At 38.7% G+C, this 23,868-nt stretch overlaps 1 protein-coding gene across 8 annotated transcripts in view, besides 1 other annotated feature; it reads left to right on the top strand.

The window, feature by feature from the left end:
* ARSB (arylsulfatase B) overlaps positions 1-23,868 on the top strand; it is a 208,750-nt gene that overhangs the window by 122,857 nt on the left and 62,025 nt on the right. For all 8 annotated transcript variants that reach the window (XR_001742066.3, XR_001742065.3, XM_011543390.2 and 5 more), the window contains one exon: positions 23,676-23,746. Coding sequence is in view for 6 of the 8 variants with exons in the window: in XM_011543390.2 (XP_011541692.1) it covers positions 23,676-23,746 (71 nt within the window). In the remaining 2 variants the exon portion in view is untranslated. The remainder of the gene's footprint in view (positions 1-23,675; positions 23,747-23,868) is intronic.
* Positions 20,982-21,276: a silencer, noted in NCBI's record as "tiled region #14877; HepG2 Repressive non-DNase unmatched - State 16:ElonW". NCBI's record gives its function as "represses a minimal TATA promoter and a strong SV40 promoter by Sharpr-MPRA in HepG2 cells {active_cell/tissue: HepG2}" and the evidence as "EXISTENCE:reporter gene assay evidence [ECO:0000049][PMID:27701403]".

Below are 23,868 nucleotides of genomic sequence, written 5' to 3'. Positions count from 1 at the left end.
CCTGACTTTTTAATGATCGCCATTCTAACTAATGTGAGATAGTATCTCATTGTGGTTTTGATTTGCATTTCTCTGATGACCAGTGATGATGAGCATTTTTTTCATGCGTCTGTTGGCTGCATAAATGTCTTCTTTTGAGAAGTGTCTGTTCATATCCTTTGCCCACCTTTTGATGGGGTTACTTGATTTTTTCCTATAAATTTGTTTAAGTTCTTTGTAGATTCTGGATATTAGCCCTTTGTTACATGGGTAAATTGTAAAAATTTTCTCCCATTCTGTAGGTTGCCTGTTCACTTTGATGGTAGTTTCTTTTTGCTGTGCAGAAGCTCTTTAGTTTAATTAGATCCCATTTGTCTATTTTGGCTTTTGTTGCCATTGCTTTTGGTGTTTTAGACGTGAAGTCCTTGCCCATGCCTATGTCCTGAATGGTAATGCCTAGGTTTTTTTCTTCTAGGGTTTCTATGGTTTTAGGTCAAACATTTAAGTCTTTAATCCATCTTGAATTAATTTTTGTATAAGGTGTAAGGAAGGGATCCAGTTTCAGCTTTCTACATATGGCTAGCCAGTTTTCCCAGCACCATGTATTAAATAGGGAATACTTTCCTTATTTCTTGTTTTTGTCAGGTTTGTCAAAGATCAGAAGGTTGTATTTCTGAGGGCTCTGTTCTGTTCCATTGGTCTATATCTCTGTTTTGGTACCAGTACCATGCTGTTTTGGTTACTGTAGCCTTGTAGTATAGTTTGAAGTCAGGTAGCGTGATGCCTCCAGCTTTGTTCTTTTGGCTTAGGATTGTCTTGGCAACGCGGGCTTTTTTTGCTTCCATCTGAACTTTAAAGTAGTTTTTTCCAATTCTGTGAAGAAAGTCATTGGTAGCTTGATGGGGATGGCACTGAATGTATAAATTACCTCGGGCAGTATGGCCATTTTCACTATATTGATTCTTCCTATCCATGAGCATGGAATGTTCTCCCATTTGTTTGTGTCCTCTTTTATTTCGTTGAGCAGTGGTTTGTAGTTCTCCTTGAAGAGGTCCTTCACATCCCTTGTAAGTTGGATTCCTAGGTATTTTATTCTCTTTGAAGCAATTGTGAATGGGAGTTCAGTTGTGATTTGGTTCTCTGTTTGTCTGTTATTTGTGTATAGGAATGCTTGTGATTTTTGCACATTGATTTTGTATCTTGAGACACTTTGTTGAAGTTGCTTATCAGCTTAAGGAGATTTTGGGCTGAGATGATGGGGTTTTCTAGATATACAATCATGTCATGTGCAAACAGGGACAATTTGACTTCCTCTTTTCCTAATTGAATGCCCTTTATTTCTTTCTCTTGCCTGATTGCCCTGACCAGAATTTCCAACATTATATTGAATAGGAGTGGTGAAAGAGGGCATCCCTGTCTTGTGCCAGTTTTCAAAGGGAATGCTTCCAGTTTTTGCCCATTCAGTATGATATTGGCTGTGGGTTTGTCATAGATAGCTCTTATTGTTTTTAGATATGTCCCATCAATACCTAGTTTCCTGAGAGTTTTTAGCATGAAGCATTGTTGAATTTTGTCGAAGGCCTTTTGTGCATCTATTGAGATAATCATACAGTTTTTGTGTTTGGTTCTGTTTATATGATGGATTACGTTCATTGATTTGCATATGTTGAACCAGCCATGCATCCCAGGGATGAAGCCAACTTGATCTTGGTGGATAAGCTTTTTGATGTGCTGCTGGATTCGGTTTGCCAGTATTTTATTGAGGATTTTTGCATCGATGTTCATCAGGGATATTGGTCTAAAATTCTCTTTTTTTGTTGTGTCTCTGCCAGGCTTTGGTATCAGGATGATGCTGGCCTCATAAAATGAGTTAGGGAGGATTCCCTCTTTTTCTGTTGATTGGAATAGTTTCAGAAGCAATGGTACCAGCTCCTCTTTGTACCTCTGGTAGAATTCGGCTGTGAATCCGTCTGGTCCTGGACTGTTTTTGGTTGGTAGGCTATTAATTTATTGCCTCAATTTCAGAGCCTGTTATTGGTCTATTCAGGATTCAGCTTCTTCCTGGTTTAGTCTTGGGAGGGTGTGTGTGTCGAGGAATTTATCCATTTCTTCTAGATTTTCTAGTTTATTTGCATAGAGGTGTTTGTAGTATTCTCTGACGGTAGTTTGTATTTCTGTGGGATTGGTGCTGATATACCCTTTATCATTTTTTATTGTGTCTATTTGATTCTTCTCTCTTTTCTTCTTTATTAGTCTTGCTAGTGGTCTATCAATTTTGTTGATCTTTTCAGAAAACCAGCTCCTGGATTCATTGATTTTTTTGAAGGGTTTTTGTGTCTCCATCTCCTTCAGTTCTGCTCTGCTGTTAGTTATTTCTTGCCTTCTGCTAGCTTTTGAATGTGTTTGCTCTTGCTTCTTTAGTTCTTTTAATTGTGATGTTAGGGTGTCAAGTTTTAGATCTTTCCTGCTTTCTCTTGTGGGCATTTAGTGCTATAGATTTCCCTCTACACAGTGCTTTAAATGTGTCCCAGAGGTTCTGGTATGTTGTGTCTTTGCTCTCATTGGTTTCAAAGAACATCTTTATTTCTGCCTTCATTTCATTATTTATGCAGTAGTCCTTCAGGATTAGGTTGTTCAGTTTCCATGTAGTAGTGCAGTTTTGAGTGAGTTTCTTAATCCTGAGTTCTAATTTAATTGCACTGTGGTCTGAAAGACAGTTTGTTATAATTTCTGTTCTATTACATTTGCTGAGGAGTGCTTTACTTCAATTCAGCAAGAAGAGCTAGCTATCCTAAATATATATGCACCCAATACAGGAGCACCCAGATTCATAAAGCAAGTCCTTAGAGACCTACAAAGAGACTTAGACTCCCACACAATAATAATGGGAGACTTTAACACCCCACTGTCAACATTAGACAGATCAACGAGACAGAAAGTTAACAAAGATATCCAGGACTTGAACTCAGCTCTGGACCAAGCGGACCTAATAGACATCTACAGAACTCTGCACCCCAAATCAACAGAATATACATTCTTCTCAGCACCACGTTGCACTTATTCCAAAATTGACAACATAGTTGGAAGTATCTATGTTTTTAAGTTCAAACTAAATGTTTAAGGAATGCTATATTATTTGATTCCCTAATTTCCCAACCTTTTGGATAAAAGGGCTTCTATCCTACACTCACAGTATGGAGTGTTCTGAGGTTGTTTCAGATTGTTTTGTTAGGTGGTTCCATGTTCCAGGAAGCTACATCTCATGCCTGATCTCTTCCATGTTAGTCTGCTGCTTGCTGTGGGGGTGGACATAGAGAGGAAAGCAGCCAGCATTCGGGGTGAGAGGAGGCACAATGGTGCCTCTCTAAGGACAGTTCATGGAAGATCATCACTCTTTTTTTTTTGTTTGTTTAGCATAGCCCCTGAGTCCCATCATTCGATGGAGGCAAAGCAAATCCATCTTCTTCTACTTTCTTTGGGATCATGTTTTGATTCTTATGGCAGAATCCAAGAATGTGTTGTTCGTCTCTTCAGCATTGGCATTAGTGAAAATCCCCTTGGGACTTTGGCATATGGTCTTCTCTTTAGTTTCCAACGCTGTTGCCAGTTTTCATCTTTTTGTAATTCTTCGTGGATATTAAAATGGAAATTGGAAGAAAGGCATATTAGTCCCTGAAGTTTATCCTGAATTAACCCAGAAGTCCTACCAATTATTTTTTAGTAATGAATAGGAAAAGATTATATTAAGGGTATGATTCAGTGATTTTTGATTACTTTTTTCTCTAGACTACTTAAAAAACTTAATAAACCTTCTTAATAACAATCTATATGAAAAATATCTTTCCATATATAACTCTAGACCCAGTGAATTCAACTTACATATTTCCTCACTGAATTTCATCAACATTTTCTAATTTCCGTGCCTATACTCTTAATTTATGGTAATATTTGCATGTTGAAATGGCTTTTCAGGAAGCATGGGATTTACACAAACCAAATATCACCTGCCCCCCATACACACACACCCTTAACAAAGGAAATAAGTCCTGTAAGGAGTTTCACCGGGATAGTGGTTAAAAATCGGTACTTTTTGATTAGATCTGGTTTAAATCCTGTCTCCTCCATTAATTACTTGTGCAATCTTTAAGCATTGATTTCCTTGTGTAAAATGTAATAATAGTTACATTTGTCTGTAACAAATGTAACAAATAACAACCTATCCTGTAGACACCTATGTGAGGATTTAGTGAGAGAGTGTGTTTGAAACATTTAGCACCATGCCTGGAACATTGTAAGAACTCGGTAGCTGGTAGTGAAGATGATAACAAGGATGATGGTGCTTCCAAAGGGTTAACAGGTCGGACATTACCCTGTGGATGTGTTGGTCAATGTTTTCATTAGTAACTGGGGTTATTTTTTTTCTTCAAAATTTCTTCTCAGAAAGTATTGTCATTGCTATTTCTAAAAATTTGATACTGCCTTTCAGGGTGTGTCTTTTATGACAGATGGTCAGCAGTTAGTGGTAAAAGAAGTATGGAATGTAATACCATTTCATTTATTTATGGGAAATGTTTTGTTGCCCCACCCTTCAACTAATAGGAAAATGAAAATCAAAAACTGGAAACTATTTATAAATGGACAGTGCTGTGATCTCAGTGTCTGAAACTGTAGACTTTTAGAAAATATTTATAGCATATTGGAAACTGGTCACTGGTCAGTGGCTGTCTCCTTGCCCTGTTTTTGTAAATAAAAATACTCTAGCAAATGTGAAATTTGGGGTAAATTCAAACAGAATACTGAAAATATCATCAGAGACAATGATATACTACTTTATAAGTTTTCAAGAGAAGAGGGTGAAGAAAAATGTTTAACTTTTATTAATAGAAGCATTTGCAGTTAATAGAGATATTTGTTTATGGAGCCTTAAAAATAAACCAAATGAATGGAAACACCATACATTCAAGGAGACACTGAGGCCATGTGTACATCTTACTGAGCAGAGAATTTAGCATAGAAGGTTAGAGATGGGATTTGGGGGTCAGTCTGCCTGAGCTCCAAACCCAGTCCTGTCACCTGCTCAACCACATGATTGTGTAAGTCACTTAACCATGCCATGCCAAGCTTGTCTCTACCTCACAGTGTTGAAGGTTGAATGAAATGATACGTGTAAAGTATTTTAAATGGTGTGTTGCACATAAAAAATGTTCTATCAGTGCAAGCTACTGTTATCCAAACTAGCCTAGCCAAAACAAATGAAACCCCAAAATAACTAGTTTGGTTGTTATAGGCATGGGTAAAACTTGCCAACTTCACCGGTTTAGAGGTAGGTCTTCATCACTAAGTGGCAAATGGCAAACAAGATAGTTCTGTTATTTTCTTTACATAGGTCTTTGTCTACTTACTGCCATAGCCAATAATATGTGCTGGGATGGGGGTAAACATTGTACGGTGGCAATCCTTGAACTGTCCCATGGGTGCCTACCTTAAAGAAGCTAATTAGAGAGCTCTGCTTTGTTCCTATAAGCCTGGAGCCCAAGTATTTGCTGTAATAAAAACACCCATTACCTTGATTCACGTAAAACCAGGACATTTCATGAACTTGTGTGATTATTGAAAACCCGTTTATCATTAACACCGTCAGTCATTATTTAGAGATTTTTATTTCACAAATAAAATCAACAATCTGATAAAGACAGTATAGCTCATGCAGCTAAACTATAGCATCTACCAAAACCAAAAAATAAGGAAAATACCTAGATAACAGATTGCAATATGTATTTTTTAATATACAGTCTATAATGAGTAGACTGTGTGACTTGACTATATTGACACTGATATTTTTCCAAAAAGAGACTCTCATATTGGAGAGAACATCATAAAATGTCTTAGAAATTAAAATTACATCTACCCCAGTGTGTTTCATAAAGGGAGCACTTGCCAGCAAGAAGAATAGGTAGGAATATTAATGTTTCATTTTATCTTCATATTATTCTTGTGTCTGTGTCCCAGGTTATAGTCTTTGAGGTTATATTATTTCCATGTCTGCAGAATCTGGATCTATATTTTACAATAAAAGGGCTTTTGTTGCCTCATGCAATTCTCATAACAACTCTGTAAGATAGGTACTTTTATCTAGATTCTGCTGATGAGAAAAACAACACCCAAGTTTATATAGCCAGTAATTTCTGGAGTTGGGATGCACACCCTGAAAGGCTTTGCTCCCAAAGACAATGCTATACTTCTTATGAGAGAGTGATGTCTTCAGAAATTGGTCAGGAGGAAAGTTCATTTTCTGATGATTGTATGGAAATGAAACTTTGGAACTGTATGATGTCCTGGAATACTATAGTATTTGTAGCATTACCTAAAAATGAATACATGCATATATGTGTGTGTGTGTAGAGAGAGACATAGAGAAGATAGAAGCTAACACATGATTATAGTATAGCAATAATCAACCCCACAACCATTTTATGGTTCTGATAGGGCCACTGTTTATTCTGCAAGATCACAAGTGATCACAAGAGTTGATATTGCTGAAACTGTGTTATGAACATACAACATACACTTTTTCTCCAACCCACTTTGGTATACACACCTTTGTGGAAGAAATTGTGTCATTGTGATAAAGCTTTGTGTTCAAGGTACTAATATCCCTATATGGCATATATTAAGATATTGATTATAGAAAGTTATCAACAGATTTCTTAAGATACTTTCTGGGAAACCAGGACTTGTTTTCAAGGGGAAGCCATTATCATTATATATGGACTTCTTACCTAAGTGTCCTAAAAGCTAGATACCCATCTTTTGCTCTATAGGAACAAAATCAAGAATTTAGAACATGTAATCACATATGGTGACCTCTATAACAAGGCCAGAGAGCAGTGATTCTTAATCTTAGATGTGGGTTAAAATCAGATTGCATTTTTGACAAGGGTGCCAAGATAGTTCCATTGGAACTATTGAAAAGACTATTGGAAAAAATAGTCCTTTCAAAAAAATAGTGCTGGGATAACTGGCTACCCACATGCAGAAGAATGAAGTTGAAGAAGCATGACATCAGCAAGATGGTAGACTAGAAGACCCTAGTGCTATTCTCCCTCAAAAAGATAGCCAGAACAATGAATAAACAACTTCATTTTAACAAAAATAACTGAGGAGGAGCACAGTGGTGCACAAGAGAAGTAACAGATACCCTGGTGAGCACAGAAACTTGGGATGGCCACATAGAGAATGGGAAGAAATGCCAGGCCTCCATTACCCTAACCCCAATTGGAAGCAGCTGGGAATGAACTAGGAGGAACGTTTCCCTACTGCAAGGAGGTAAACAAAAGGATCCCAGCAGCCCCATCAACACCGTGGATACCTACAGACCTGAGCACTGGGGTCCCCTGCAATCCTCACAGACACTAAGCCTAGCTGAGGGAGCTGCCTGAAGTCCACATGTCCGTGCTTCCCCCAGAGAAGGAGCCAATACTATGATCCACACCCTGTGGCCCACATAGCTACCATGCTATGCCATCTTGGAGTTGGAACTATGGCTGGATGTGTCTTGCTCTGGGGGCAAGTATGCATGGCTCTCTTTTATCCCTGAGGCTAAGCCATTGCTGAACTGCCCCAGCCCAATGGCCTGACATCCCCAAGTCGAGCAACTGTTTTGTGCTCCCCTGTGGGGCCAAGCAGAGGTGGAGCTGCTCCACCTCCCACCACCCTTTCCTCCTCAGGCCAGAGCTGAAGCAGTGTCCTGATTCCTGGGAAAACAGTACTTTGACTGCTCAGAGAAATCATGCCCCTCCAATGCCTAAGTCAAAGCAGCACGCTGCATCCTAGGGAAATGGTGCCTGGTCCACCCAGAGCAGTCATACCTGTTGGACTCAAGCCGAAATGACACATCACCCTCTGGGGAATTTGTACCCTGGCTGAGCTGAATAGCTGCAAATCCCAGGGCTGTGCTGACATGGTATCCTGTGTCCCAGGGAAACAGAGCAGTGGCTGAGCTGAGACACCCCATCCTGCAGGCCAAACAGCTCTAGTGTCCTTCCTTCCTGGGGCTGTACTAGCCTCCTGAAGTCTGAGCTGCTGAGATACCCTTGACTCTGGGGAGTGGAGTCATTGCTGTGCTGCACATTGTCTTCCAGGGCCCAAATAACAGCTGTGTTCTGCCATTCTAGGGTACAGCATATTTCTCTGCAGAAACCTGACAAGCCAGGAGAGAAGTGGATGATGTATTCAAAGTACCAAAAGAAAAAAAAATTGTCAGCTAAGCATGCGATACCCAGCAAATCTACCCTTCAGAAATGAGAGAGAAAGAAAGTCTCCCAGACAAGTAAAAACTGAGGGAATTCATCACCACTAGACTGGCTTTACAAGAAACAGTCAAGGGAGTCCTGTATCTGGAAGAAAAAAGATGATAATCATTCTCATGAAAACACACACAAGTGTAAAACTCGCTGGTAGAGCAGATGCACAAAGGAGAAAGAGAAACAAGAGAAAACCTTGTTACTGCAGAAAACCACCAAACTGCAATGATCTCAAATATCTTTCCTGACCACAATGAAATCAATAACAAGAGGAACTTTTGAAATTTTACAAACACATGGAAATGGAAGTTAAACACGTTCCTGAATGGTCAATGGGTCAATAAAGAAATTAAGAAGGAAAATGTTAAATGTCTTGAAAGAAATGAAAATAGACATACAGCATATCAAAAACCTATGGTATACAGCAAAAGAAGTGTTAAGAGGAAAATGTATAGCAATAGATGCCTACATCCAAAAAGTAGAAGGATTTCCAATCAGCAACGTAGCAATGTATCTCAAGAAACTAGAAAAGCAAGAACAAGCCAAATCCAAAATTAGTAGAAGGAAAGAAATAATGATGAAAGCAGAAATAAACAAAATTCACGGAGATCTGGCAGCCAAGATGGCTGAATAGGAACAGCTCCGGTCTACAGCTCCCAGCGTGAGCGACACAGAAGACGGGTGATTTCTGCATTTCCCTCTGAGGTACCGGATTCATCTCACTAGGGAGTGCAAGACAGTGGGCACAGGACAGTGGGTGCAGCGCACCATGCGCAAGCCTAAGCAGGGCGAGGCATTGCCTCACTCGGGAAGTGCAAGGGGTCAGGGAGTTCCCTTTCCTAGTCAAAGAAAGGGGTGACAGACGGCACCTGGAAAATTGGGTCACTCCCACCCTAATACTGCACTTTTCCAATGGGCTTAAAAAACGGCACACTAGGAGATTATATCCCGCACCTGGCTCAGAGGGTCCTATGCCCACAGAGTTTCGCTGATTGCTAGCACAGCAGTCTGAGATCAAACTGCAAGGCGGCAGCGAGGCTGGGGGAGGGGCACCCACCATTGCCCAGGCTTGCTTAGGTAAACAAAGCAGCCAGGAAGCTCAAACTTGGTGGAGCCCACCACAGCTCAAGGAGGCCTGCCTGCCTCTGTAGGCTCCACCTCTGGGGGCAGGGCACAGACAAACAAAAAGACATCAGTAACATCTGCAGACTTAAATATCCCTGTCTGACAGCTTTGAAGAGAGCAGTGGTTCTCCCAGCACGCAGCTGGAGATCTGAGAACGGGCAGACTGCCTCCTCAAGTGGGTCCCTGATCCCTGAACCCCGAGCAACCTAACCGGGAGGCACCCCCCAGTAGGGGCAGACTGACACCTCACACGGCCGGGTATTCCTCTGAGACAAAACTTCCAGAGGAATGATCAGACAGCAGCATTCATGGTTCACGAAAATCCGCTGTTCTGCAGCCACCGCTGCTGATACCCAGGCAAACAGGGTCTGGAGTGGACCTCTAGCAAACTCCAACAGACCTGCAGCTGAGGGTCCTGTCTGTTAGAAGGAAAACTAACAAACAGAAAGGACATCCACACCAAAAACCCATCTGTACATCACCATCATCAAAGACCAAAAGCAGATAAAGCCACAAAGATGGGGAAAAAACAGAGCAGAAAAACTGGAAACTCTAAAAACAGAGCGCCTCTCCTCTTCCAAAGGAACGCAGTTCCACACCAGCAACGGAACAAAGCTGGACGGAGAATTACTTTGACGAGTTGAGAAAAGAAGGCTTCAGACTATCAAACTACTCTGAGCTACAGGAGGAAATTCAAACCAAAGGCAAAGAAGTTAAAAACTTTGAAAAAAATTTAGACGAATGTATAACTAGAATAACCAATACAGAGAAGTGCTTAAAGGAGCTGATGGAGCTGAAAGCCAAGGCTCGAGAACTACATGAAGAATGCAGAAGCCTCAGGAGCTGATGCAATCAACTGGAAGAAAGGGTATCAGTGATGGAAGATGAAATGAATGAAATGAAGCGAGAAGGGAAGTTTAGAGAAAAAAGAATAAAAAGAAACGAACAAAGCCTCCAAGAAATATGGGACTATGTGAAAAGACCAAATCTACGTCTGATTGGTGTACCTGAAAGTGACGGGGAGAATGGAAGCAAGTTGGAAAACACTCTGCAGGATATTATCCAGGAGAACTTCCCCAATCTAGCAAGGCAGGCCAACATTCAGATTCAGGAAATACAGAAAATGCCACAAAGATACTCCTCGAGAAGAGCAACTCCAAGACACATAATTGTCAGATTCATCAAAGTTGAAATGAAGGAAAAAATGTTAAGGGCAGCCAGAGAGAAAGGTCGGGTTACCCACAAAGGGAAGCCCATCAGACTAACAGCAGATCTCTTGGCAGAAACTCTACAAGCCAGAGGAGAGTGGGGGCCAATATTCAACATTCTTAAAGAAAAGAATTTTCAACCCAGAATTTCATATCCAGCCAAACTAAGCTTCATAAGTGAAGGAGAAATAAAATACTATACAGACAAGCAAATGCTGAGAGATTTTGTCACCACCAGGCCTGTCCTAAAAGAGCTCCTGAAGCACTAAACATGGAAAGGAACAATCGGTACCAGCCGCTGCAAAATCATGCCAAATTGTAAAGACCATCGAGGCTAGGAAGAAACTGCATCAACTAACGAGCAAAATAACCAGCTAATATCATAATGACAAGATCAAATTCACACATAACAATATTAACTTTAAATGTAAATGGGCTAAATGCTCCAATTAAAAGACACAGACTGGCAAATTGGATAAAGAGTCAAGACCCATTAGTGTGCTGTATTCAGGAAACCCATCTCATGTGCAGAGACACACAAAGGCTCAAAATAAAAGGATGGAGGAAGATCTACCAAGCAAATGGAAAACAAAAAAAGGCAGGGGTTGCAATCCTAGTCTCTGATAAAACAGACTTTAAACCAACAAAGATCAAAAGAGACAAAGAAGGCCATTACATAATGGTAAAGGGATCAATTCAACAAGAAGAGCTAACTATCCTAAATATATATGCAACCAATACAGGAGCACCCAGATGCATAAAGCAAGTCCTGAGTGACCTACAAAGAGACTTAGACTCCCACACAATAATAATAGGAGACTTTAACACCCCACTATCAACATTAAACAGATCAATGAGACAGAAAGTTAACAAAGATACCCAGGAATTGAACTCAGCTCTGCACCAAGCGGACCTAATAGACATCTACAGACCTCTCCACCCCAAGTCAACAGAATATACATTTTTTTCAGCACCACACCACACCTATTCCAAAATTGACCACATAGTTGGAAGTAAAGCACTCCTCAGCAAATGTAATAGAACAGAAATTATAACAAACTGTCTCTCAGACCACAGTGCAATCAAACTAGAACTCAGGATTCAGAAACTCACTCAAAACTGCTCAACTACATGGAAACTGAACAACCTACTCCTGAATGACTACTGGGTACTTAACGAAATGAAGGCAGAAGTAAAGATGTTCTTTGAAACCAGCGAGAACAAAGACACAACATACCAGAATCTCTGGGACACATTCAAAGCAGTGTGTAGTGGGAAATTTATAGCACTGAATGCCCACAAGAGAAAGCAGGAAAGATCCAAAATTGACACCCTAACATCACAATTAAAACAACTAGAAAAGCAAGAGCAAACACATTCAAAAGCTAGCAGAAGGCAAGAAATAACTAAGATCAGAGCAGAACTGAAGGAGATAGAGGCACAAAAAACCCTTCAAAAAATTAATGAATCCAGGAGCTGGTTTTTTGAAAAGATCAACAAAATTGATAGACCGCTAGCAAGACTAACAAAGAAGAAAAGAGAGAAGAATCAAATAGACGCAATAAAAAATGATAAAGGGGATATCACCACTGATACCACAGAAATACAAACTACCATCAGAGAATACTACAAACACCTCTATGCAAATAAACTAGAAAATCTAGAAGAAACGGATAAATTACTGGATACGTACACCCTCCCAAGACTAAACCAGGAAGAAGTTGAATCTCTGAATAGACCAATAACAGGCTCTGAAATTGTGACAATAATCAATAGCTTACCAACCAAAAAGAGTCCAAGACCAGTTGGATTCACAACCAAATTCTACCAGAGGTACAAGGAGGAACTGGTACCATTCCTTCTGAAACTATTCCAATCAATAGAAAAAGAGAGAATCCTCCCTAACTCATTTTATGAGTCCAGCATCATCCTGATACCAAAGCCAGGCAGAGACACAACCAAAAAAGAGAATTTTAGACCAATATCCTTGATGAACATTGATGCAAAAATCCTCAATAAAATACTGGCAAACCAAATCCAGCAGCACATCAAAAAGCTTATCCACCATGATCAAGTGGGCTTCATCCCTGGGATGCAAGGCTGGTTCAATATACGCAAATCAATAAATGTAATCCAGCATATAACCAGAACCAAAGACAAAAACCACATGATTATCTCAATAGATGCAGAAAAGGCCTTTGACAAAACTCAACAACACTTCATGCTAAAAACTCTCAATAAATTAGGTATTGATGGGACGTATCTCAAAATAATAAGAGCTATCTATGACAAACCCACAGCCAATATACTGAATGGGCAAAAACTGGAAGCATTCCCTTTGAAAACTGGCACAAGACAGGGATGCCCTCTCTCACCACTCCTATTCAACATAGTGTTGGAAGTTCTGGCCAGGGCAATTAGGCAGGAGAAGGAAATAAAGGGCATTCAATTAGGAAAAGAGGAAGTCAAATTGTCCCTGTTTGCAGATGACATGATTGTATATCTAGAAAACCCCATCGTCTCAGCCCCAAATCTCCTTAAGCTGATAAGCAACTTCAGCAAAGTCTCAGGATGCAAAATCAATGTACAAAAATCACAAGCATTCTTATACACCAATAACAGACAAACAGAGAGCCAAATCATGAGTGAACTCCCATTCACAATTGCTTCAAAGAGAATAAAATACCTAGGAATCCAACTTACAAGGGATGTGAAGGACCTCTTCAAGGAGAACTACAAACCACTGCTCAAGGAAATAAAAGAGGATACAAACAAATGGAAGAACATTCCATGCTCATGGACAGGAAGAATCAATATTGTGAAAATGGCCATACTGCCCAAGGTAATTTATAGATTCAATGCCATCCCCATCAAGCTACCAATGACTTTCTTCACAGAATTGGAAAAAACTAAAGTTCATATGGAACCAAAAAAGAGCCCACATTGCCAAGTCAATCCTAAGCCAAAAGAACAAAGCTGGAGGCATCACGCTACCTGACTTCAAACTATACTACAAGGCTACAGTAACCAAAACAGCATGGTACTGGTACCAAAACAGAGATATAGATCAATGGAACAGAACAGAGCCCTCAGAAATAATGCCGCTTACCTACAACTATCTGATCTTTGACAAACCTGAGAAAAACAAGCAATGGGGAAAGGATTCCCCATTTAATAAATGGTGCTGGGAAAACTGGCTAGCCATATGTAGAAAGCTGAAACTGGATCCCTTCCTTACACCTTATACAAAAATTAATTCAAGATGGATTAAAGACTTAAACGTTAGACCTAAAACCATAAAAACCCGAGAAGAAAACCTAGGCATTACCATTCAGGACATAGGCATGGGCAAGGACTTCATGTCTAAAACACCAAAAGCAATGGCAACAAAAACCAAAACTGACAAATGGGATCTAATTAAACTAAAGAGCTTCTGCACAGCAAAAGAAACTACCATCAAAGTGAACAGGCAACCTTCAGAATGGGAGAAAATTTTTGCAATCTACTCATCTGACAAAGGGCTAATATCCAGAATCTACAATGAACTCAAACAAATTTACGAGAAAAAACAACGCCATCAACAAGTGGGCAAAGGATATGAACAGACGCTTCTCAAAAGAAGACATTTATGCAGCCAAAAGACACGTGAAAAAATGCTCATCATTACTGGCCATCAGAGAAATGCAAATCAAAACCACAATGAGATACCGTCTCACACCAGTTAGAATGGCAATCATTAAAAAGTCAGGAAACAACAGGTGCTAGAGAGGATGTGGAGAAATAGAAATACTTTTGCACTGTTGGTGGGACTGTAAACTAGTTCAACCATTGTGGAAGTCAGTGTGATGATTCCTCAGGGATCTAGAACTAGACTAGAAATACCATTTGACCCAGCCATCCCATTACGGGGTATATACCCAAAGGACTATAAATCATGCTGCTATAAAGACACATGCACACGTATGTTTATTGCGGCACTATTCACAATAGCAAAGACTTGGAACCAACCCAAACGTCCAACAATGATAGACTGGATTAAGAAAATGTGGCACATATACACCATGGAATACTATGCAGCCATAAAAAATGATGAGTTCATGTCCTTTGTACGGACATGGATGAAATTGGAAATCATTCTCAGTAAACTATCGCAAGGACAAAAAACCAAACACCGCATGTTCTCACTCATAGGTGGGAATTGAACAATGAGAACTCATGGACACAGGAAGGGGAACATCACACTCTGGGGAGTGTTGTGGGGTGGGGGGAGGGGGGAGGATAGCATTAGGAGATATACCTAATGCTAAATGACGAGTTAATGGGTGCAGCACAACAGCATGGCACATGTATACATATGTAACTAACCTGCACATTGTGCACATGTACCCTAAAACTTAAAGTATAATAATAATAAAATAATAATAATAATAAAATAAAAAAATTCACGCTAAAAAATAATACAAAAGATCGATGAAATTAAAAGTTGGTTTTTGAAACGATTAACAAAACTGACAAATAATTAGCTAGATGAATCAAGAATGTAAATGGTCCAAATAAAATCACCAACAAAAAAGGAGACATTGCAACTGATACCATAGAAATACAAGTGATCATGAGAGACTATTATGAACAACTATATGCCAACAAATTAGAAAATCTAGTGGAAATGGATAAATTCATGTATACATGCAATGTGCCATGATTGAACCAAGAAGAAATAGAAAACCTGAATAGACCAATTATAAGTAATGAGATTGAATCTTGTAATAAAAAGTCTCCCATTGAAGAGAAGCCCAGGACCTGATGACCTCATTGCAGAATTCTACAAAACATTTAAAGAACTAATAAAAATTCTTCTCAAACTCTTCCAGAAAATTGAAGAGGAGGGAATTCTTCTAAACTTATTCCACAAGACCAGCATTATGTTGATACCAAAACTAGACAGAGATACAACAAGAAAAGAAAACTTTAGGCCAGTATCCCCAATGAACATAGACACACAAAGCCTCAACAAAATGCTAGCAAACTGAATCCAGCAACACATTAAAAAGATCGTTCACAGCCAGGTGTGGTGTCTCATGCCTGTAATCTCAGGGCTTTGGGAGGCCAAGGCAGGAGGATCACTTGAACCTAGGAGTTCAAGACCAGCCTGGGCAGCAGAGGGAGATCCCATTTCTGCAAAAAATTTAAAAATTAGCCAGGCATGGTGGCATGCTCCTATAGCCCAGGTACTAGGGAGGCTGAGGTGGGAGGATTGCTTGAGTCTGGGAGATTGAGACTGCAATGAGCCATGATCAAGCCACTGTACTCCAGTCTGGGCAACAAAATGAGACCCCATCTCAAAAAATAAAAATAAATTTAAAAGATCATTCACCATTATCAAGTGGGATTTATCCCAAAGTTGCAAGAATGGTTCAACATATACAAATCCATAAACATGACACATTACATCAACAGAATGAAGTATAAAAACCACATGACCATCTCAATAGATACATAAAAAGGATTTGATACAATTCAACATCGCTTCATAATCAAAACACTCAACTAATTAGTTATAGAAGGACCACAGCTCAACACGATAAAGGCCATATATCATAAGCCCATAGCAAACATCGCACTGAATGGGAAAAAGTTGACAGCCTTTCCCCTAACATCTGAAACAAGACAACGATGCTCACTTTTACCACTTTTGTTCAACAGAGTAATGGAAGTCCTAGCCAGAGCAATCAGGCAATAGAAAGAAATAAAGGACCTCCAAAATGGAAAGGAGGATGTCAAATTGTCCCTATTTGCAGATGATATCATCATATATACAGAAAACCCTAAAAGCTCTACCAAAAAACTCTTACAACTGATAAACAAATTCAGTAAAGTTGCAGGATACAGAATCAACATACAGAAATCAGTAGCATTTCTATATGCCAGCAACAAGCTAGCAGAAGAGAACACACAAAAAATGAAAAGATATCTCATATTCATAGATTTGAAGAATAAATATTGTGAAAATGATCTTACTACCAAAAGCAATCTACAGAGTCAATGCAATCCCTATCTAAATACCAATAACATTCTCAACAGAAATTAAAAAATCCTAAAATTTACATGCACCCACAAAAGACCCTATAGCCAAAGCAATCCTGAATGAAAAGAACAAAGTTGGAGGCATCACACTGCCAGGTTTCAAAAGATACTATAAAGGTATAGTAACCAATACAGCATGTTACTTGTGTAAAATACAGATTCATATACCAATGGAACAAAATAGAGAACCTAGAAATAAATTCGTGTATGTATAGCCTACTGATCCTTGACAAAGGCACCAAGAACATTTATTGAGGAAGAGACAGTCTTTTCAATAAATGGTGCTGGGAAAATTGGATATCCACATGCATAAAAATGAAACCAAACCTGTATCTCTCACCATATATAAAAATCAACTCAAAATGGGTTAATGACTTAAATATAAGACCTGAAGCTATGAAACTCCTGAAAGAAAACATAGGAGAAATGCTTCAGAACATTGGTCTGGGCAAAGATTTTATGGAGAAGACCTCAAAGGCACAGGCAACAAAAGCAAAAATAGACAAATGGGATTATATCAAGCTAAAATCTCCTGCACAGCAAAGGAAACAATCAACAGAGCAAATAGACAGCCTGCATAATGGGAGAAAATATTTGCTAACTCTTCATTCAACAAAGGATTAATATCCAGAATATATAAGGAACTGAAACAATTCAACAGAAAAACCCCCCAAATAATCCAGTTTAAAATGGGTAAATGAGCTGAATAGACACCTCTCAAAATAAGAAATACAAATGGCTAGTAGATTTATTTTTAAAAATGCTCAACATCACTAATCATGAGAGAATGCAAATTTAAAACCACGATGAGATATGATCTCAACCCGGTTAGAATGGCCATTATCAAAAAGTTAAAAAATAACAGATCCTGGCGAGGTTGTAGAGAAAGGGGTACTCTTATCCACCACTGGTGAGAATGCAAATTAGTCTAGCCATTGTGGAAAACAATATGAAGGCTCCTCAAAAAACTAAAAATAGAACTACCATATGATCCAGCAATCCCGCTACTGGGTATATATGCAAAGGAAATGAAATCAGTATATCAAGGAGATATGTGCACTCCCATATTTATTGCAGTACTATTCACAATACCCAAGATATAGAATCAACTTAAGGGTCCATCAGTGGGTGAATGAAGAAAATATGGTATATATACACAATGGAATACTCTTTAGCCATAAAACAAAATGAAATCCTGTCATTCACAGTAACATGGATGAAACTGAAGGTCACTATGTTAAGTGAAATAAGCCAGGCACAGAAAGATAAATACCACATGTTCTCATACATGGAAGCTAAAAAACGTTGATCTCATAGAAGCAAAGAGTAGAGTAGTGTTTTTCCTGAGGGGTGGGAAGGGTAGGGGAGAGGAGAATAGCCAAAGGTTAGTTAATGGATATAAAAGTACAATTAAATAGGAGGAATAAGGTCTAGTGCTCTATAGCACTATAGGGTGACTATCATTAACAACAATTTATTGTATATTTTTGAAAAGTTACAAGAGTGAATTTTGAATGTTCCCAACACAGAGAAATGATAAATATTTGAGGTGATGGTTATGCTAATTACACTGACTTATCATTACACATTGTACACATATATTGAAATATACTCTAGCCCATAAATATGTATATTTATATGTCAATTAAACATAATAAAAAAAGAAGATAATGAAGTTGGATCTCTACCTCACAGCATACACAAAAATTAACTTAAAATGGATCATAGACCTAAATGTAAGAATTAAAACTATAAAACTCTTAGAAGAAAACTCAGGAGTAAAGCTTTGTGATCTTGGGTCAGACAGTAGTTTCTTAGATAAAAGCAACACAGGAGAAAATACATAAGTCGAACTACATCAAAATGCAAACTTTTATTCTCAAAATGATATTCTCAAGGAAGTGAAAAATCAACCCACAGAATAGGAGAAAATATTAGCAAATCATGTATCAGATAAGGGACTTGCAAATAGAATATATAAAGAATTCATGCAACTCAATCATAAAAAGACAAGTAGCCCCATTAAAATACGAGCAAATGATCTGAATAGACATTTCTCCAAAGAGGATATATAAATGGCCAATACATACATGAAAAGATGCTCATCATTAATTATTAGGAAAATGCAAATCAAATCGCAATGAGATATCACTTTACACCAACTAGAATGGCTACATTCAAAAAGACACATTAATAAGTGTTGTCAAAGATGTGGAGAAATTGAAGCACTTATTCCTGGTGAGAGTGTGAAATGGCGTAGCTGCTTTGGAAAATTGTTCGGCAAGTCCTCAAAATGTTGTAGAGTTACCATATGACCTGGCAATTCCACTCCTAGTTATAGACCCAAGAGATATGAAAACGAATGCCCACACAAAAAATTGTACATGAATGTTCATAGTAGGATTATTCATAATAGCCAAATATTGAAAACAATCAAAATACTAACCAAGTAAATGGATAAAGAAAATGTGATATCTTCAAGCAATGGGATATTATTTAGCCATATAAAGGAATGAAATATTTGATGCATGCTACCACATTGATGATCCTTGAAAACATTATGCTAAGTGAAAGAAGCCAGCCACAAAAGGCCAAGTATTGTGTGGTTCCAGTTATATGAAATGTCCAGAATAGGCAAATCTGTAGAGACAGATTAACAATCGGCTAGGGCTGGGGAGGGGAGTGAAGTAGAAAATGAAGAATGACTGCTAATGGGTACAGTATTTCTTTTGGGAGGATAAAAATGTTCTAAAATTAGACTGTTGATGATTGTGCAACCATGTGAATATACCAAAAACATTTAACTGTGCAGTTTAAATGGGTGATTGTATGGTTTTAAAATTATACTTCAATAAAGCTAAGTTTGGGTGCTTTTATAAATCTTTATGCCCAGGCTGAAACTCAGAACTCAGTCTCCTGGGATTGAACCCATGCATCAGTATTTTTTAAGAGTTCTTCAGGTGATTGTATTGTGCAGCCAAGGTTGAGAATCATTATGTTTGAATCAGCCCTAATCCAAATAAGATTTTAATTTAAGAGACTCCAAAAGAGTTGAGATCCCATGTGGAAGGACTCCGGGAGGCTTCCTCAAACCATGATACCTCAAGTGTGGTTCTGAGACCAGCAGCATCAATGTCACCTGGGAAACTGTTAGAAATGCAGATTATTGGGCCCCATTCAGTTCAAGTACATCAGGATCCACAGTTTAACAAGCTCCCCAGATGATTCATATGTACATTAAGGTTTGGGAAGCACTGCTTAGGAGCAGCGGTTCCCATGCTTGGCTGCACATTGGAATCATCTGGAGAGTCCAAAAGTACCAATGCTTGGGTTCCACCGCCAGTGATCTTACGGGTATGAGATGCAGCCTGTGCATCTGGGATTTAAAAGCTTCCCAGGTAATTCTAATGTACAGCAAAGTTTGAGAATGAGTACTGCAAAAAACAAGATACCTAATGGCAAATAAGATGGTTAATAAAATTTTCTTATTTTGTTTTTAACAGAAGGATAGATGAACATGCATAAGAAAGTGGAGATTATTGATATCAAAAATTTCCAGAGGAGTGAGGAAGGGATGGCAGTGAGACAACAATGGAAAACGTTTTCTCTAAAAAAAAAAAAAGGGAAAAAAACAAAAACAAAAACAGAAAACTCACCACACACCAGGCATTTTCCTTCTAAATCCAAGAGAGGGATCTTTCATGTGATTATTGGAGACTACTCAAATTTAAGTGGCCAAGAATTTGTGGGTTCTTAAGAGGGTCTTTAATGCTGAAAACATATGGGTATTTACTGAACTTCCCTTTCTTTGAATTTATAAAGAGAAAGTTTATTAATATGGTGGTGAACATTTCTTCCCAAGCTGTGTACCCATGTCCAGCTTCTTCGGTCTGGGGAAATTTTAACTCCTCAGTAGACAGTGGGCCCTGCGCAGGGTCTGGGGCATGCTCTTCCTATATATGGCATTCAGCCCTGAGGATTCTCCTCCCCAGCAATCGGCCATGTCTCTCTAATGACCATTGTCTCTGCCATTTACTGGTCTTTTCAAAATTATGACTCTGAAATATCTCCTAGGCAAAATTATGAGGCTTGCAGAGTTAGCTTTGAGACTTCTCATCACCCACCCCTTCCCCTCCTTCCGACAAGCTCCGTTTCTGTCCCATGCCCCCAGATTGTCTTCTCCAGGTGACTTGAACCCACCTTCTTGGTTGCAGTATCAGTACACTGTACCCTTGTCTGCACTGAAATTAACCATGCAGTTTCTGTGCCTTCTTAAGTTGATGTGTGTGTGTGTGTGTGTGTGGTGGTGGAGGGTATAATTACTTGAATCTGTGTTAATAAAGTGTTAACTATTAACGGAAATCCACAATCCCTCTCTACCTCCCCCTCAGGAAGTCCCTAATGGTGTTTGGTCATTGTTTCAATCACTTGTCATATATTGTGTTTTCTTGGCCCATATCTCTAACCACATCCTTATCAAAATATTCTGATGAGTGCATTTTAAAAGTAGAATGACAACATACTTAAGATAGTTGGAGGGGTTGGCTCCTATTTGCATCATGATGATTCTGCCTATGAAGATTTTTCCTAACAATCAACTAGGATTATACACAACGCTTGGTTTCAAAAAATCATCTCATCGTATTAAATTTACTTATTTTAAAATACCTGTGACTCTTCTGAATAATGAAAAAAATGACATGAATGAAGAGTATGTATATAAACTCTCTCTAAAGTTATTAGGAAAATGTTTTTATTTAATTGTGCCTAATATTTTGGGGTATTACAGTGAACTCTACTTTTAAAGCTGCGTAGTTATGTATTAATATACTGGCCCTGAAATTTTTGAGTTTTCAACCTATAGTCCAGAAAAAGCCTTTATTTTTAATAGTTGCCCTAAAAATTTAACACAAAAGTTTTACTTAGCTAAATCTAAATTTAATCAGTAGCTTTACCCCACTTCCAAACAATATAAATACTTTAAAATGCTTTCATTTGATTTCCTTTCCTTGCTTGCTATTATTTTCCAGGATTTTAACTCTGTTTGCTTGGTTTTATTTGTTTGTTTGTTTTAAGACAGAGTCTCACTTTGTCATCTAGGCTGGAGTGCAGTGGTGTGATCATAGCTCACTACAGCCTTGAACTCCTGGGCTCAAGGGATCCTCTTGCCTCAGCCTCCTGTGTTGCTGGGACTACAGGCATGCACCACCATGCTCAAATTATTATTATTATTAGTAGTAGTAGTAGTAGTAGTAGTAGTAGTAGTAGTACAGACCAGGTCTCAGTATGTTGCCTAAGCTTGTCTCAAACTCCTGGCTGGCCTCAAGGGATCCTCCCATCTCAGCCTCCCAAAGTGCTGGGATTATAGGCGTGAGCCATTGTACCTGGCATACTTGTTTGGTTTTAAGCCCACAAATTAGACATCATCATCATTCTATTTAGATTTTCTCATATTTACCATTTTCTTTACATATCATTTCTACTTCCATTCAGAGCTTCTGGGATCAAACCGTAGTTCCTGGCATTTTGGACTGGTTGATAGTCTCCAGGATATTCAGGCAGTTAAGTGTCTCCGAAAGAAAATGAGAAAAGAAAGGTCCTGGGAAATATGCCCCACCCCCACCCCTGCAGTGCTGCCGCTGCTGTCCCAGGACCGTGGGCACCCCTGAATGTTTCTCTTCCACTGTCTCTGATCACTGTGATTTATGGAGTAGAGGGGGACAATGACATCTGATAGAATACCAAAGTTAAATATGCTCAATTTAAGGAGCTGTTATTTATTCAGAGATCGTGTCTTTCCTACCTTTTTTGCTGTTTATTTTATAAAATAATGGTGATGGTAGTTGAAGTTTGTTATTTTGTTTTGTTTTAAATTAATTCATTAAGATTTGTTTTTATATTTCCTTACTTGGCAAATACAAAGTTGTGAATCACAACCCAGATTTTTTGAAATTGTATTGGGCATTGAAATCCCAAACCACTGCTATCAACAGCTAACTGTGAGTTTGGCGTGTGGACACTGGGACACCTGAAACCATGTCTTGGTTACGTCAGGAGCCTTATTGATTATTTATATTATGTATGAATCCTGTGGTGTTAACAGTACTTTGCAACCTTTAGTACTTAGCTGAACTGTATTAGATTATCAGGGAGTCCTCAGTACACCCTCAATGATTTAAATTGTTTTTAGCTACTTCTGTAAGGCTGAGTCTACACTAGCAAAATGACCTGGGTGCCTATTGTGCTCCCTACATACATCTGGTGATGTTTATGCTCCCAATTTCTTAAGAACACTGCTTTGAGAGTCACACAACCCAATATTCTACCAATAACTTACTATGTACCTTCATCATTTGTAAGAAGAGGGGGTTGAACTAAGCGATCTCCAAGTCACTTTTCAGCACAAATGTAGGTTGTGATTGTATTTGTGTGTACACATTTTTTAAAGCCTTAAAGAGATCTAGGTATTTCTCATGTATTTATATTAAATCTAAGATCCGTGTTGCAAATTTGGACATGGAGGACATTAATTTTTCTGATGTAGGTTACTCTTTAAGAGGCATGTTGCATCTGTAATATTGGTGCCACCATTTTGGCAGATGCAGTTTCTTCATTTACTCGTAAGTGTTCAGTATGAAGTCTATATGAGGTGACTTGAGTTCTCATTTCTCTGGTGTAAAAAATGGTCATGTTTAAATAAGGCCACAATATTTATTTCAAAGGGTCCCAGAATCATTTTTTAAAATATCTTCATATGCTTGACACTGAAGTTCTTATGTAAAGGGTTCGGTCAATGTAAACAAACGATGACTGCTTGAAGATGCACCAGCCGTGATTGTGGAGACCTCCAAATTCATGACAGAGTTGTTAACTGGCAGGTTTGTTATTTCCTATAAGTACAAGGAAGGGAAGTATTAAAATAATTCATGCCCATTAGAGAGAGGAAATTAACATTCCCTTAAAAATTGTTTTCCAGTGAAGGAAGCCCATCCCCCAGAATTGAGCTGCTGCATAATATTGACCCGAACTTCGTGGACTCTTCACCGTGTGAGTACCAGTGCATTGCTACTAGATTAAATCTAATTGGCCCACCAAGATGGTTTGATTACCTAGTGTGTCTCTAGCCTAGCTTTCTCTTTTTTCCTGAGTTGCTATAAAGGTAAACAGTT

Source organism: Homo sapiens, chromosome 5 (genome assembly GCF_000001405.40).
Source record: "Homo sapiens chromosome 5, GRCh38.p14 Primary Assembly".
Lineage (NCBI taxonomy): Eukaryota > Metazoa > Chordata > Mammalia > Primates > Hominidae > Homo > Homo sapiens.
This window is presented reverse-complemented; position numbering and strand designations above follow the sequence as displayed.